Consider the following 16,946-nt stretch of genomic DNA (forward strand, 5'->3'; position numbering starts at 1 on the left):
TCAGTAGCTACACAAGTTACACAGGTGGCTTTATATTATAATGATTGAGAACTACTGCCTACTGGAGCTGCCGTTTTCTTTTAACCTACGTAGCATAAGACAGCTGGTATGCCAATATAAATATTTATATAAGCCCTTTAAAGTGTTTGTTATTTTTTCTCTTAGATACGTCTCAGTGCACATGTGTGCAAGAGAGATACTTTGTCCAACATTTGAAATCTAGTTTTTCAACTAATTGCTGTATTTTTCTCTAAGATGTTGCTGCCTTTTAGTATATACATATGTATGTCTATGTATGATTGTGTGTTTGTGTATTGTTTTTTAGGCCCATCAGTTACCCACATTTCAGAGCCTAGGATTAGTTTGGCCTTTCTTTTGCTCATTCCATTTTCATTTGTTCTGTGTTTGTTTTACTTTTAGGTGTGATTGCAGCATTTACAGTTGCAGTCCTTGCTGCGGGTATCTCCTTTCATTACTTCAGTGATTAGGGTGAGGCACAAAGAGTTTCTTGATCATCCAGAGAACATTGACAGACAATTATGAATAATAAAGATGTTAACAATCCATCTGTATTTAAAACACTAGCAGCCAGATCTGCTGCCATGATGCCTATTTGGTGTGTTTCTGATTAAAATGAAATCACAAGCTGCCTTGTTTAGCCTGCTTTACATTGTAGGTGGCCCGCATTTCCAGAAATAACGTTATGCATCTAGATGGAAGCTGCATGTAACAAATCATTATTATCTATTTTTAAAAGCTTCAAAATGATGGGATATGATCATAGATTTTAGTCTTACTAATCTGAATCACATATTAATCAGGACATTAAAAACTTTAACAGAGGCATGATGGCTCACACGTATAATCCTAATGCTTTGAGAGGCTGAGGTAGGAGCATCACCTGGGGCTGGGAGGGAGTTGGAGACCAGCCTGGATGACATAATGAGATTCTGTCTCTACTGGAAAAAAAAAAAATTAGCTGGACATGGTGGCAATCAGCTCTAGTCCCAACTACTTGGAGGCTGAAGCAGGAAGATCACGTGAGCCCAGGAGTTTGAGGCTGCAGCGAGCTATGATCACATCACTGTACTCCAGCCTGGGTGACAAAATGAGACATTGTCTCTAAAATACATAAGTAAATTTAAAAAAAAAAGAATAATAATTTGAACAGTGAATGTTGATGTAACATCTTAATAATAGAGCACCAGAAAAATTTCTACCAAATGAGACAACAACTTTAGGATAAGTTCATCCTCTAGGAGCTTTCTAATGTGCACTCAGTTCCTGTATACTGTGTGTTTTGTTCTGATCAAGGGGTAGGGAACCTTTCCAGAGAAGTCCCATTAGTAAGAAATGACATAAAATACGTGCTTTCTCAGGTTACTGTATAACTGTTATAATATATTTAATATATAAAATTAAGACTTTTGCTTCCAGCAAGTATGTTAGACTAGATATTATAAAACAACTAGATCCTGAATAAAATCTGCTTTTAATAGGTTCACTGGAAGTAGGAGAATTTTCAAGAACCATACTTCGACATTTCCTCTGCCACAAAAAATGAACGCATTTTAAGTTAGGAGTCATGAATACTGTATTGACCATACAAGTGGATTATGGTTGTCTGGATGGCAGATACCAATAGCAACATTGTCATATGCAGTTTGCCTCAAATCAGAAACAAGAAGACATCGGAATCTGAGATGCTGCCCTAGAGAGGACAGTTAAAGAAGGTTCAGTGGTCCTCAGTTTGCAGTGCTCTAGCTCCTGGCAGAAGCAAGAGGGAAACATTCCTAATTTAGTTCCAAGATTCCTACAGATTATTATCAAGTAGTAGTATTTTATGACTAGAGATCACAGGCACAAGTTGAAACAAACTAACATGACAAGAAAGCTATAGAAAAAATAAACATTGAACTCAGTTCTTCAAGGTTTCATCACCAACATAAGGAATGAAGTTGGAACCACAGGCAGATCTGAAAAAGAACCAAATAGAGCTCCTAAAAATGAGAAATATTTATTGAAATAAGAAAAAAGCCCTCAGACATGTTGAATATTTTATTAGACTCAGCTGAAGAGACAAGTGAACTAAACTATAAGCTGGATCTAAAGAAATTACCCAGTGAGCAGTGAGGAGAAACAAGGAGCTAGAAAACATTGGAAAGTTAAGAGAGTTCGAGGGAAGAATTATAAAGACTAGGAGTCCTAGAAAGAGAAAATTTAGAGAATAAAGGAGAGGCAGTACTTGAAAGATAACACAATTTTACAAATTTGTTGGAAAAACATGAATTCATAAATTCAGGAAGCACAATATATACCAAACATATATTTAAATAAAATCCAGGCCTAGACTCAAGGTATTGTAAATGACAAGATACCAAATACAAGATTTTAAAAGCAACCATGGGGAGAAAAAGATCAGTGAAAGCAAGACAGTCAAATACTTAGTAGGCTTCCTAACAGCAACAATGTACCCAAAAGAGGGTAGAATTCTGAGAAAAACTATTAGCTTAGAATTTGCAACAAGCGAAACTGAAACAAACAGATGCTCAGATGAAAAACAGATGTTATCCTCAGCACAAATTCAGTAAAGAGACTACAAAAGGATGATCTTCAAGAAGGGAAATGATTCTAAAAGGATTATCTGAAATTGAAAAACTAGTAAGCAAATAAATGATAAACATAAGTAAATTTAAACTGTTGTTTGTATAAAACAATTATAATGAAGTGTTTATAAGAAATTGTAAACAAATGTAAAACTAAATAAACATTGTTATGCAACATTAATAATGTGGAATTTTTAAATAAGGATATAATTGTAAAATTGGATAATAGCTGCTGGCTGGCAGAAGGGTGATTGGAATTAGAGTGGTCTGAGGTTCTTTTATTCAGAAAACTGGTTAAGATACTGTTTAACCTTAAAATTGACTATGTTATAATAAATATGTGTAGTCAAGAGTTCAAGGGTAACTGCCACAACAATAGATAGGGGATCGGCCAGGCACGGTGGCTCACACTTATAATCAGCACTTTTGGAGGCTGAGGCAGGCAGATCACTTGGGGTCAGGAGTTCCAGACCAGCCTGGCCAACATGGTGAAATCCCGTTCTACCAAAATACACAAAAATCAGCTGCGTGTGATGGCATGCGCCTGTAATCCTAGCTACTCTGGAGGCTGAGGTGGGAGAATCACTTGAACCAGGGAGGCGAAGGTTGCAGTGAGGAGATTGCACCACTGCACTCCAGCCTGGGTGACAGAGTGAGACTCTATCTCAAAAAAAAAAAAAAAAAAATGATGAATCATTCCAAAGGAAAAGAAATTTATTTAAAATACAGAATAGGTATGCAATAACCTAGTACAAATAAAGAAAGAAATTATGGAGGCGGGTGGGGGGTGAAGTTAGAAAGTAAGATAATAACAAGTCTAATATTAAAATGAATATGAATAGACAATTACCCAATTAAATGATAGCATTGGTCAGATTTTTTTAAAAACCCAACTAGGCTGTTTAAAATAAAACACCTAAAATATTAGACATGGGGAGGTTGAAAGTAAAAAAAAAATTTTTTTTAAATGAAGTAGGTAAATACTAAAAACTTGTGTAGCTTTAGTGATATTAAATCACAATAATTAGATTTATGATATTAAAGATTGAGAAGGCCATTAAAAATAAAGGATCAATTTACTAGGTCTATATAATAATTTTCAGTGTGCATTCACCATATGAAATGGCCCCAAAATGTATGAACTGAAGCAACAATAGGGCTGAAGCAACAAAATGAGCAATAATGGGAGATTTCAACAACTAATTAATGATAAAGAATTAGTGAAAGCATTTTAATGTAATTAATACTGATTCAATAAACATTTAGAATAATGTATTAAACAATTAAAGAATATTTTTCTTAAGCATTGTATATTAGCAAAACTGGACCCTGTATTTTAAGCATGAGGCAAGTCACAAAACATCAAATAATTGGTATTAAATGGATAATCAGAAGCAAGTAGAGGTCAGTAATAAAGGTTAATTTTTTTTAAATATTACATTTACATGTTTAGATCTTCACAGAGGAGAAAAAGAAATACTTAAAGCCTAGTTACAAGTAATATATATTTTTAAATTGGGTATTGTAGCTGAAACAGCACTTTGAGGGAAATGGCTTTAAATGCTTAAGGGAAAAGACTAAATGTGCAACTTAGAAAAACAATAGCGAAAGCAATGTAGAAGCAAGGAAATACAGGAAAGGGAATAAATCAATGAATTAGAAACTGATAAAGAATTATATGTTAAAGTTGTTATCATGACAAACAGTAAAACGCATAATTGAACAAGATGAAACGGGACACAAAGATTGAAAAAGGGGTCCAAATCCATTGATAAAGCAGGGATGAAAAGGTGACTACCAGGAACATCTTAATGCTAATGTATTTGAAAACTTAGACAAAATAGACCAAACTCTAGAAAACTGCAATTTACTTAAATTGGCTCAGGAAGAAATAGAAAAGCTGAATATACTTATTCATAGGTTGAATAGTAAACAATAATTAACTTTTTGACAAGACCTGGCACAGGTCTTTCAAGGGGGGTAAAATTCTAACATTTTATACAAGCTCTTTCAAAAATAGCTAATGAGGGAATACTTGCCAGCATATTGTGTGAGGTTGATATAACTTACTGATATTAAATCAGAGACATTCAGTAGGAGAAAAGAAAATTACAGGCTGATAGCACTTACTAACACTTGTAAAGTCAAAAGCACTATTAATAAACTTTGACAAAACAGTGCATCATGACTAAGTTGTATACTTTAAAAATCAGGAACACAAGGGTGGCTATTATCACCACTACTTGTGCTTTTTTTTTTTTTTTTTTTTTTTTTTTTTAAGATGGAGTCTCGCTCTGTCACCCAGGTTGGAGTGCAGTTGCGTGATCTCGGCTCACTGCGGTCTCCATCTCCCAGGTTCAAGCAATTCTCTTGCCTCAACCTCCCGAGTAGCTGGGATTACAGGTGCCCACCACCACGCCCGGCTAATTTTTATATTTTTAGTACAGACAGGGTTTCACCAAGATGTCCAGGCTGGTCTTAAACTCCTGACCTGAGGTGATCTGCCTGCCTCGGCCTCCTAAAGTGCTGGGATTACAGGTGTGAGCCACTGCACCCGGCCACCACTTCTATTTATCATTGTCCTGTAGAAAAATAAGCAAATGACAAACCAGGTATTTTCAGAGGATATGACTGAACACATGAAAAGAAGTTTTACCTTGTAAGTGATTGGCTAATTAAAACCATAATTAATAACATTTTACATTCAATAGATTGAAAAATTAAGGAATACAACAATACCAATAAAGATGATGTGCCTCAGTCTTTCACACTGCAGATAGGATTTTGAACTGATAGACTCTGAGCTCAGAAAGCAATTTGGCACTATCTCTTAGAGTTAAGAATTCACGTACACTAACCATTCTACCTCTACATAAATGCCTTAGAGAAATTCTTGGATATGTGTACCTCAAGAGTACACATGTGAGAATGCTTGTGGCAGCCCTGTTTTTAATTACTCAAATGTCCGTTGACAACAAAAAACAAATTACGGGTTTTGTAATTTTATTCAGCAGGGAGAATGACCTACATACAACAACCCAGAGTAATCTTAAAAATGATAAAGCAAGTCTCAGAAGTCTACATACAGTATGCTACAGTTTTTATAAAGCTATAAAAGAAACCTAAACTGTATTATGTAGGAATATGTATATTTGTGATAAAACTTTTTCTTTTAAAGGAGTCATAAAACTCAGGATAGTGGCAAGGTGTAACACATGAATACATAAAACAATATTAGTGATACTTTCGTTCTTGAGTAATGGGTTTCTTGATCTTCATTTCATTTACTTAATGGCACTAACATAAATTTTGGGTGGGGTTGTCTGTTACTAACAAACTACCCTCAAACTTAATTAGCTTAAAATAACAACCATTTCACTTGCCTCAATGCTGTGAGTTGATAGGAATCAGCTGGGTGGTTTTGCGCCACATGATGGTGACTTTAGCTGCAGTTATCTAGGGGCTGGATTGGGCTTGAAACATCTGAGATACTCATGCACATGATTGGCAGTTAATGGTGGCTATCAGCTGGGAATTCAGCTGCCACATCTCAGTTTATGTGGCTTCTCCATGGGACTTGGAGTTCTTCCAGTCGTGGTGGCTGGGCTTGCTATCATTTATGGCTGGGATCCAAGAAGCAGCATCCCAAGTATAAGCATTTCAAGAAGAGGAAAGTAGAAGCTAAGTCCTTTTGGGGCCTTAGCTTGGAAATCCCAGAACATTATTTTCACCACATTGTATTGGTCAAAGTAATCTACAGGGTCAGCCTAGATTAAAGAAAAAAAAAAAAAACCCCTTTTTGATGGGAAGGGGTCATGCATACACGAGCAAGAAAGAAATTGATGGCAGAAATCTTTGGTAGTTACAATGTACCCCCTGGTCATAGTAATTTGTGTTCCTGATGGAAAATTATTTCACTACCTCCTAGGAAACCTTAAAGTCTCATCTCAATATGACATCAAGTTCAAGCTCAAGACCCAGAATCTCATGATCTAAACCAGTTTCAGTAACATATGAGGCACCTTTACTACAGTTTCCCTCAATCCGAAGATGTGTGAAACTAAAGACAAGTTTTCTTTCCCATATTCACCCAGCCTACGATGGTGAGTCAGGCAATATACACTCTTGTTTAAAAAAGAGGAAAAATGAGAGGTACATAGCAGTGAATGGTTCATAGCAATTCTGAACTCCAATTGGGCACGTCTAATTCCTTATGATTCTGGGAGCACAGAATGTATGTCAATTAGGGCCTAATTCTACCTGAGAGTGGTTCTCAACTCTTGGCTCTTCCCTGTAAGATCTTGACTTTGCTCTGAGTCATTCTTTTCCATGACTTTTCCATTAGAAAATCCATACTCATCTCTTCAAGACAGGCCTGTCTCTAATTTGAACTCAGAGGATGTTGAGGAACAGCACCCTTAACTACCTTAGATACTCATTATCGAGCAAAGTAATCTACAAAATGTGCTCATAAGATTCTTAGAAGTCTTTTTGTCTAGCTAAGAGGTCTATGAGGCACTGGCTTAAATATTTCTGAAACCTTAAAGGATATTACAGATGCACCGTTGATCCTAAATTATCCTAATTCTATGGTTTACTAACAATTCTTGATTTGATCTTTGCCATAAGGTGATTTCTTCCTTGAGAACCTCTTGCTGGCTGGAAAAGATGTTCTACACACTTTAAATATTCTATAAATTTTGCTCCAAAACTGAACAGTTTCTTAGTTTATTTCTCTCTTCTCCTGTTTGATGATAGGCAGCTAGAAGTAGTCAGGTGGCATTTTCCATGTTTGCCTGGAAGTCTCCTTGGATAGATTCACAAATTTATTAGGTTATGTTTTCCCTTTAGCAATTGCCATGAGCTTATTAGTTCTACCTTTCACGTTACTGCAAATGAAAGTGTTGCCTTTCTGTTTTCTCATTGATCTTCTAGCCACCACTGTCTGTATTTCCTGTTTAATTCCAAAGTTGAGGCTACGTAAGTTTTGGGTTTGACCAAGTGGCACCCTATTTCTAGATACCAGTTTCTATTGCAGTTATCTTTTGCTCCACAACAAACAACCTCAAAACTTAGTGGCTTAAAGCAACCATTTTGTTAACTCATGACTCTTTGTATAGAAGGAACTTAGCTGACTCAGTTGGGTGGCCCTGCTCCACGTGATGCTGTGTGGGGTATTCAATTATCTAAAGGCTGTGATATCCAAGACAGTTCATCCACATGGTTGACAGTTTATCTGGTTTTCCTTCACGTGACTTTTCCAAAGAGTTTGGCTTCCCACAGCATGGTGATTGAATTCCAAAAGGGAGTGTTCCAAGATTCAGTGTTCAGAGATGAAAGATGTGGAAACTGTTCATCCTCTCAAGGCCTGGTCTTCTCAGAAGTTCCAGAATGTCACTCTTTGCATTCTACTGGTCAAAGCAAACACAGATCCAGTCCAGTTTCCACAGGAGAGGAAAAAGAAGCCCATATCTCATTGGGGAAGTGGCATATGCTTGTAGAGAGAGAAAGAATTGATGGCAGTCATTACTGGAGATTTGTAACTACACATTTTTAGTATATGTCAAAAAAAGAAGATTGAAAATATAATCATACCTCAGAGATATTGTGGGCTGGGTCCCAGACAACCAAAACTAAGCTAATATCATAATCAAGTCACAATTTTTTTTTGTTTTCCCAGTGCATATAAAATTATTTTTATACTGTAGTCTAGTAAGTGCACAATAGCAGTATGTCTAAATAACAATGTATATACCTTAATTTAAAAATACTTTGCTGCTAAAAATAAAAGTGGCAATCCTCTGACCTTTCAGCCATAATCTTTTTGACCTTCAGTCATAATCTTCATAACCTTCAGTCATAATCTTTTTGATGGTGGAAGGTTTTTGTCTTGATGTTGATGGCTGTTGACTGATTAGGGTGGTGGTTGCTGAAGGTTGGGGTGGCCATGGCAATTTCTTGAAAGACAATGACATTTGCCACATCAATTGACTCTTCTTTTCATGAAAGATTTTTCTGTAGCAGGTGATGCCATTTGATAGCATTTTACCCACAGTAAAACTTTCAGAATTGGAGTCAGTCCCCTCAAACCCTATGGCTTCTTTTTCAACTAAGTTTGTGTGACATTCTGAATCCTTTGTTGTCATTTCAACAGTGTTCACAGCATCTTTGCCAGGAGTAGGTTCTATCTCCAGAAGCCACTTTATTTGCTCATCCTTAAGAAACAACTCCTCATTCATTCAAGTTTTATCATGATATCGCACCAATTTAGTCACATCTTTAGGCTCCACTTCTAATTCTAGTTCTTTTGCTAATTCTATCACATCTGTAATTACTTCTTCCACTGAAGTCTTGAGCCCCCTCAGTCATTCATGAGGGTTGGAATAAAATTCTTCCAAACTCCTGTTAATGTTGATATTTTCACCTGCTTCCATGAGTCACAAATGTTCTTAATGACATGTAGAATGATTAAGCTTTTCCAAAGTATTTTCAATTTAGTTTGTCCAGATCCATCAGAGGAATCACTATCTTTGGCAGCTATCACCTTACAAAATGTATTTCTTAAATAATAAAAGTTGAAAGTCAGAACTACTTCTTGATCCATGGTCTGAAGAATAGATGTTGTATTTGTAGGTATGAAACAAACGTTAATCTCTGCATATCTCCATAAGAGCTCTTGGAATAATATTTTGAAAGGAATCGTTTTCTGAGCATTAAGTTTCAACAGTGGGCTTAAAATATTCAGTAAAACATGAGGAAAGTAGACGTGCTGTCATCCAAGCTTTACTTTTCATTGGTAGAGCATGGACAAAGTAGATTTTGCATAATCCTTAAGCGCCCTAGGATTTTTGGAATGGCAAAGGAGCTTTGGCTTCAACTTAAAGTCACCAGGTGCATTGGCCCCTAAAACAAGAGTCCGTCTGTCCTTTGAAGCTTTGAAGTCAGGCATTGACTTCTCCTCTCTAGCTATGAAAGTAGATGGGATCTTCTTCCAATAGAAGACTGTTTAATCTACATTGAAAATCTATTGTTTAGCCACCTTCATTGGTTATCTTACATAGATCTTCTGGATAACTTGCTGCAGCTTCTACATCAGTACTTGCTGTTTCACCTTGTACTTTTATGTTATTGAGATAGCTTCTCTCCTTAAACCCCATGAACCAACCTCTGCTAGCTTCAGACTTCTTCTGCTTCCTCACCTCTCTTAGTCTTCACAGAATTGAAGAGAGTTAGGGCCTTGCTCTGGACTAGGCTTTGTCTTAAGGGAATGTTGTGGCTGGTTTGATCTATCTAAACCACTCAGACTTTCTCCATATAAGCAATAAGGCTATTTCACTTATTCATATGTTCACTGGAGTAGCACTTTTAATTTCTTTCAAGAACTTTTCCTTTGCACTCACAACTTGGCTGTTTGTTGCAAGAGGCTTAGCTTTCAGCCCGTCTTGTCTTTCGACATGCCTTCCTCATTTAGCTTAATCATTTCTAGCTTTTGGTTTAAAGTGAGAGACATATACCTCTTTCTTTCACTTGGACACTTACAGGCCATTGTAGGGTTATCAACTGGCCTAATAATAATAATATTGTGTTTCAGAGAATAGGGATAGGGAGAAAGACAGGGAAATGACTGATTGGTTGAGTAATCAGAACACACACAATTTTATCAATTAAGTTTGCCATCTTATATGGGCATGGTTCATGGAACCCCAAAACAATTATAATAGTGACATCAAAGTCACTGATTACAGATCACTGTAACAGATATAATAAGGCTGGGCATGGTGGCTCATTCCTATAATCCGAGCACTTTGGCGAGTAAATCACTTGAGCCTGGGAGTTCAAGACCACTCTAGGCAACGTGATGAAATCTTGTCTCTACAAAAAGAAAAACAACAACACCAAACAAAAATTAACTGGTTGTGGTTGGCACATGCCTGTAGTCCCAGCTACTTGGGAGACTGAGGTGGGAAGACCACCTAAGCCTGGGAGGCCGAGGCTGCAGTGAGCCATGATTGTGCAACTGCATTCCAGCCTGAGTGCACACACTGAGCCTGGGTGACACACTGAGACTCTGTCTCAAGAAAAAAAAAAGACAATGAAAATGAAGAAGTTTGAAATATTACAAGAGTTACCAATATGTGATACATAGACAGAAAATGAGCATATACTGTTGGAAAAATTACGATAGACTTGCTTGATGCAGGGTTGTAAAAACTTTCTACTTGTAAAAAATGAGGTATATGTGAAATGCAATAAAGCCAACTACAATAAAATAAGATATGCATGTTTAGGAGAAAGAACAGACAAAAGAGTTCCCTAAAGAAATAGTTACTACAAAAAAAAATCCACATATGACCCTTAATCGCAGTCTGTCTTTTACTACAGTGCCTCTGTCTTCCTCTTTTTCACTGTGACAATTCTGGGGACAAATAAAATGTCTTTTCTTTTACCTACCCCTACAATCCTCAATAGTCAATAGGTTCATGACTATATCACCAACATAGCTAGGAATAATCAAGCCCTATTATAATATAATGTCATTATGTTTGCTGACTCTTACCTAAAAGATTTGTCTAAATATAAATTAACCAATGCATAATAAATACCTGGTAAGTTGTTCTTGATTTCTGATTTTAACCTAATAAATAATTATGTTGGAAATATCAAGTCTGTTAATGAATATTAATCAAAGGTGGTCAATGAGGTCTCATAAAATTTATAACATTTTATTAAAAGGTAAATTAATATGTTAATAGGTATTGATTTGTTAGTTGTTAAGAACAAAGGATGAAAGTAGAGTTAGAAGTTACAGTTGTTTGTTTTTGCCATTTTGAAAGTGTTTCAGTTTCATTATTTCATTGGATTTTTATAACAGTTTTGTATTGTATGTAGGGAAAAGATTTGTTAGATTCAAATTGTATTAATATAATAGAAATAGACTTTGATTATTATTCATAAGGACACATAGAGTAGATATTTGGGTAAATAACTATTATCTTTGTCTTAATAATCAGAAGTAGATTATTTCTTCTTTTTTCATCTTTGTAAAAATATAGGTATTTTATTTACTTAACACCATTAAATGAAGCTAGATTTTGTACTGTACTATGGAACTTCTGATCCCAGAAGAGCACTGTACAAAAATCCTTAATTAAAAAGGCTTGGTATTTTAGAAAACTATCCTTTATTCAACTTGCTCAATTTGTTGAGGAGATTTTTTGTTTACAGAATGGTGAAGAGGAACTTAATGATAGAGATGAAGGTAGTTTAATCAGGTCTTAGATTCTATTTTAGGCAAATCCAATTTAGTTGTAGAAACACCAGATGCCTACCCCCATGATTAAAATTCTGAATGTCAATAAGCTAAGATGTTAGACTGCAATTTCTGTGTTTAACAAAAATAACCAACATAATTTTAATATTTTTTTCTGTGCTTTCAAGTTAGCACTATTAAAATATTTTCTAGTTTTTAATTATAAGTAGTTAATAATTATGGAGAATTGAGTTATATTCCTAGATCTGCCAAAAGAAAAATAATAAAACCTTGTGAAGTCAGTTAATTCCTTTGATCTTTAAGTGGGAACAAATTCTAACATTACACTAACTCTCAATAAATAGTGCTTTACAGTTTACAAAGTATTTTCATTTCTATGTCACCCTCCCTCCCTTTTTTTTTTTTTGTTTTAATAATTCAGAAACAGGTTCAGGAAAGTCATTTTCTAAGCCTAAATATTACTGTGCATATACAGATTAAGGGGAAACATACTGATGAAAGGGAATAATTAAGCGTGTAGAAACAAGATAGATGACTGTACACAACTAAGAAAACATAAACATAAGATTTTTGGAATGTTGGAGAGGATACACTTTAAAGCACAGGTGGCTCTTGGCCTTTAGAGAAGGAACACCTCTTCTAGCATAATAGCTCAGAGGGGGAAGAAAATAGGTGTAAATATATACGGACTTGTAGGTGTGCTGGTGAAAAGTTGAAGATAATCTCATCTGATGCTTCAGATTTCTATAAAATTGTCAAGGTCATCTTCCAAGAGTGAAGGATGATGAAAATAAAGATTTGTAAGAAGTATTGCAAAGAATGGAATATCAAGTGGCCAAAGAAAAATCGTGGAATTGCCAGAGAGTGGTAAAAATCCTTCTGAGGTTAGTAATCACATGATTAAGTTGTGTATTTTTCCCCCAGCAATCTTTGTCTTCTCGGATTCAAGAATAGAAAAAAATGAAGAGCAATATTTGGGAGGCTTATCTAATAGACAGATGAGTTGAAATTAAAAAAGGTCATAGAAATTTAGTTTAATGATGGCCACAAAACTTAAGCAGAAAGGTAGAGTAATTAGAAGGTCAATATTTGTCAGTTGCAAGGATGGAAAAAAAGTGATACATACAAATAGCATGACCCTAAAAGATATGTAGTATTTTTATGGAAGCCAATGAGAAGAATAATCTGGGGTAAGGGATAGTGTCACTAATGATATTTGAATTCTGAAATAATACAAAATCACCATTTGCAAGCTTAAAGAGAAAGTGTACCCTCTTTGAAGAGGCAGATTTCAGTAATGGCAAAGATGTGGAAGGAATTCTTGGATAAAAGGTTGAAAATAGAGGGAAATTCTGATTTTAGAGAGCAAGGAAGTACAGACTTTCATGGGGATGGTGTAGTAGAGTATTAAGGCGAAGGGCAAGCTGGGAGTGGGCAGGAAGTAGGGAGTGGGAAAAGTTGGTAGGGGGCTTATGTTTTAGATACTGATTGTGATTAATGCAAGATTAAGAATCATGGTGGGTTCAGTTTCATAGTTTTTGAGGATGTTAGATTCTGGTTCTAATAAAGAATTTGTCTCATTCAGCCTAAGTGAGTAATTACCTCAGTGGGAACAAGTTTTGGTAGCTTCTCATATATGGCTTGGAGGTGGGAGGGGACCTAGGTATTGATGCCAGCAACTAAAGACATTAAGGCTACAGTAGGAACATAACCTATAGCTACAAACTGTGAGCTTTATATATCCAACCTTATATTCCAGGTAGAAATCCAACTTGATCATGTTTTATCTTTTACATACACTGTTGGATTTGACTTGCTAATATTTTATTTAAATTTTTTGTTTCCATACTTGTGGAAATATTAGCCTGTAATTTTCCCTTCTCATACTGCCCTTGTCCAGTTTTGGTACAAAGATTATATGAGTTTAATAAAATGAGTTGATAATTATTCTCCTTTTCTGTTCTCTGAAAAAGCCTGTGTAAAATAATGTTTCTTTTCAGATTGATAGAATTAACTTATAAATACATCTAGGCCCTGTGTTTTTTTGGGGGGTAATATTTTGTTAACTACTGTTCTGGTTTCTTTGCTGGTTACAGGGCTATTCAGACTTTCTATTTGTCTTAAATCAATTCTGGTAAATTATATTTTTCTAGAAATCTATTTTTTTTGTTTTCAAATTTGTTGGCATTAAGTTGCTCATAATATTTTATATCATTTTTATCTCAGCTCTATCTAAGCATGTGTTTTAAAAAATTTTTTTAATGTTGTTTATTTATGCTTTTCTCATAGCCACCACACCCCCTGCAGTGAATCTGGCAGATTTTTTTTTTTTTTTCTTGAGACGGAGTCTCACTCTGTCACCCAGGCTAGAGTGCAATGGTGTGGTCTCGGCTCACTGCAACCTCCACTTCCTGGGTTCAAGCAATTCTCCTGCCTCAGCCTCCTGAGTAGCTGGGACTACAGGCGCATGGCAACACACCAGGCTAATTTTTGTATTTTTAGTAGAGATGGGGTTTCACCATGTTGGTCAGGCTGGTCTCGAACTCCTGACCTCAAGATCCATCCGCCTCAGCCTCCCAAAGTGCTGGGATTACAGGTGTGAGCTACCGCACCCGGCCAGATATTTAAAAATCTTATTAGAGAACCAATTTTTGGCATGTGAATTCTATCTATAAAATTTATATTAATTTATGCATGTACTTATTTCCTTATGTTTGTACTTTGTGGGTTTGCTTTATTTTCTTAACTTAGTTGGAAACTCAGGCCATTTGTTTTAAGTCTTCTTTTGTAATTTATGTTTTTAATAGTAATATTTTCTTGATGTTCCAAAGTTTTGATATAAAATACTCTTATTTTTTTTTAAGTTTTAAGAATTTCAGATTTCCAGTATAATTTATTCCTTGAACACAGAAGTTATTTAGATGTATGTGTATTTATTATTAATAGCAAATACATATTTGTAATTAATTTCTACTTAATTGCATTGTGGTCCTAAAGAGTAATTTGTCTTACAGTATACTAGTTCATTATTAACTTTTGAAAATGTTCCTTGTGTGTTGGAGGTGGAAAAGTGGCTACTTTACTAATTATTAGTTACAATGCTTTATTTTTATTATTTTATTATTATTATTTTGAGACAGAGTCTCACTCTGTGGCGCAGACTGGAGTGCACTGGTGTGATCTCAGCTCACTGCAACCTCTGCCACTTGGGTTCAAGCGATTCTCTTGCCTCAGCCTTCCAAGTAGCTGGGATTACAGGTGCCTGCCACCACACCTGGCTAATTTTTGTATTTTCAGTAGAGACGGGTTTCGCCATGTTGCCAGGCTGGTCTTGAACTCCTGACCTCAGGTGATCCACCCACCTCGGCCTCCCAAAGTGCTGGGATTATAGGCATGAGCCACCGCGCCTGGCCAGTTGCAGTGTTTTTAATATGTCCTTTAGATCAAACTTGTTAATTCTGTGGTTAATATCTACATAGATACTAATTTTTTGTTACGCGATCTAGCAAAGGTTCAAAGAACTGCACTGAAATTTCTGATGGTGGATTGCCACTTTTTTCCTGTAGTCTGTCAGTTTTTACTATGTATATTCTGTGACATTTTATTAGCCATATATATGTTTAAAATTTTTAGATCATCCTAGTGGTACTGTACCATTTTATAGTTATGTAATAATGTAAGTAATATTATGTATATAAGATATATTTCTATATCTAATAATGCTTTTTCTCTTTAAATGTATTTGTCTGATATTAATTGATACTTGCTTAAAGAATTGTATTTGCTAGATATAGTTTTTCCATCATTTTACATCTTGCTTTTCTGTATCCTTATGTTTTGAATGTATCTCTTTTGAATAGCCAATACCTGGGTTTAAAAAATGTCTAATTAGACAATATATACCTCATAACTGTTAAATTGAAATCATTTATGGTTTTTGTTACTATTATTATGTTTGGAATGATTGCCTCTTTAAATTCTTACTCTGGAACTGGAAAGAATGGTAAAATAACTCTGGTTTCAAATAGAAACTCCTTGCTGCTCCTTCAGAGAAAGCCAAATGGAGGTTTAAAAGTCCTTTCCATTTCCCTACCAAAACAAAAGCAACAAAAAAGAAAATTAAAAATCCTCATTCTCTGGAAATGCTTGAAGAAGGGAAAAAATAAATTGGAGATACAATGATTGGCAAAAATGACATCTTTATTTATTTTTAATAAAAGATAAATGTAATGTAGAGCCATGGCCTTATTCTTCTAAACTTCTGTGGGACTTACACAGTTTATTATGTAAGTCTCTGTAATTCAAGTTACCCGGAAAGTTCAATTTCATGTGTGATTATTATTGCCTATTGAAAGTGCATCTGATTTGTTATAACAGGAACCCTGTAGGGGAAATAATTGTATGTTGTTAGCAATGAATATATGTAAACCTTTAAAAATGAATTAATGTTTTTGATATAGCATGTTTAATTCAAGCTAGTCTGTGTTCAATTATTGGAAGCAGGGAGTGAACGCTCTAAGAAATAAAATAACCTAGGGTGAAACACCTTATTTTATGAAAAACTAATTTTTAGGAGCATTTTCTTTTATACTATGTAAAAAAATCCCTGAAAGATGAACAGACTTTGACAGCTGTTATAGGTGAGAGCCTCAAGTAAAGATAAAATTAAATGTTTTCCTTAAATGCTATTGCCCAAATAATGAATATCCATAATTGAAAACTGAGATTACCTTATACTTTGCTTTGTTCTCTCTGCCAGAGTCCTACCCACTGTATTAGTTGTTAGAGTTGTGGAACTTAACCGAAGCTTTCTCTGGATTCCAGGTAACTTTGTTCTTTTGTTTTTGTTTTTTTCCTGCAGAATCGATATATGGGCCTGAAATATATTAAGGTAGATCTTCTAATCTTAGATAATCCTGAATTTTTTTGTTAATGCATTCTTTGCATTGATGATTGCCAGTATGAAGTATGCTGTGATATGAAAAGCACAGGAACCAGGGATGGGAGGCCCAAGGTTAAATTCAACCTCTATATCTTCCTGGTTGCATAACCTGGACTAGTCAGCTAAC

At 35.3% G+C, this 16,946-nt stretch overlaps 1 protein-coding gene and 1 long non-coding RNA gene across 7 annotated transcripts in view; both read left to right on the top strand.

Moving 5' to 3' along the window:
- Window positions 1-16,443, top strand: part of ODR4 (odr-4 GPCR localization factor homolog) — a 59,194-nt gene extending 42,751 nt beyond the window's left edge. For 3 of the 6 annotated variants that reach the window (NM_017847.6, NM_001164245.2, NM_001164246.2), the window contains one exon: window positions 421-2,787. In NM_017847.6, coding sequence (NP_060317.3) covers window positions 421-488 — 68 coding nt within the window. In that variant the 3' untranslated portion in view covers window positions 489-2,787. Of the gene's footprint in view, window positions 1-420; window positions 2,788-6,534 lie in introns of those variants that run through there. The other 3 variants (XR_007061319.1, XM_047423438.1, XM_011509660.3) reach the window with 3 other exon arrangements.
- A 129-nt stretch (window positions 16,444-16,572) lies between these two features.
- PDC-AS1 (PDC antisense RNA 1) overlaps window positions 16,573-16,946 on the top strand; it is a 35,131-nt gene continuing 34,757 nt past the window's right edge. The window contains exon 1 of the long non-coding RNA NR_126002.1: window positions 16,573-16,701. This is a non-coding gene — a long non-coding RNA (PDC antisense RNA 1). The remainder of the gene's footprint in view (window positions 16,702-16,946) is intronic.

The sequence above is a fragment of the Homo sapiens genome, chromosome 1, assembly GCF_000001405.40.
Source record: "Homo sapiens chromosome 1, GRCh38.p14 Primary Assembly".
Classification (NCBI taxonomy): domain Eukaryota; kingdom Metazoa; phylum Chordata; class Mammalia; order Primates; family Hominidae; genus Homo; species Homo sapiens.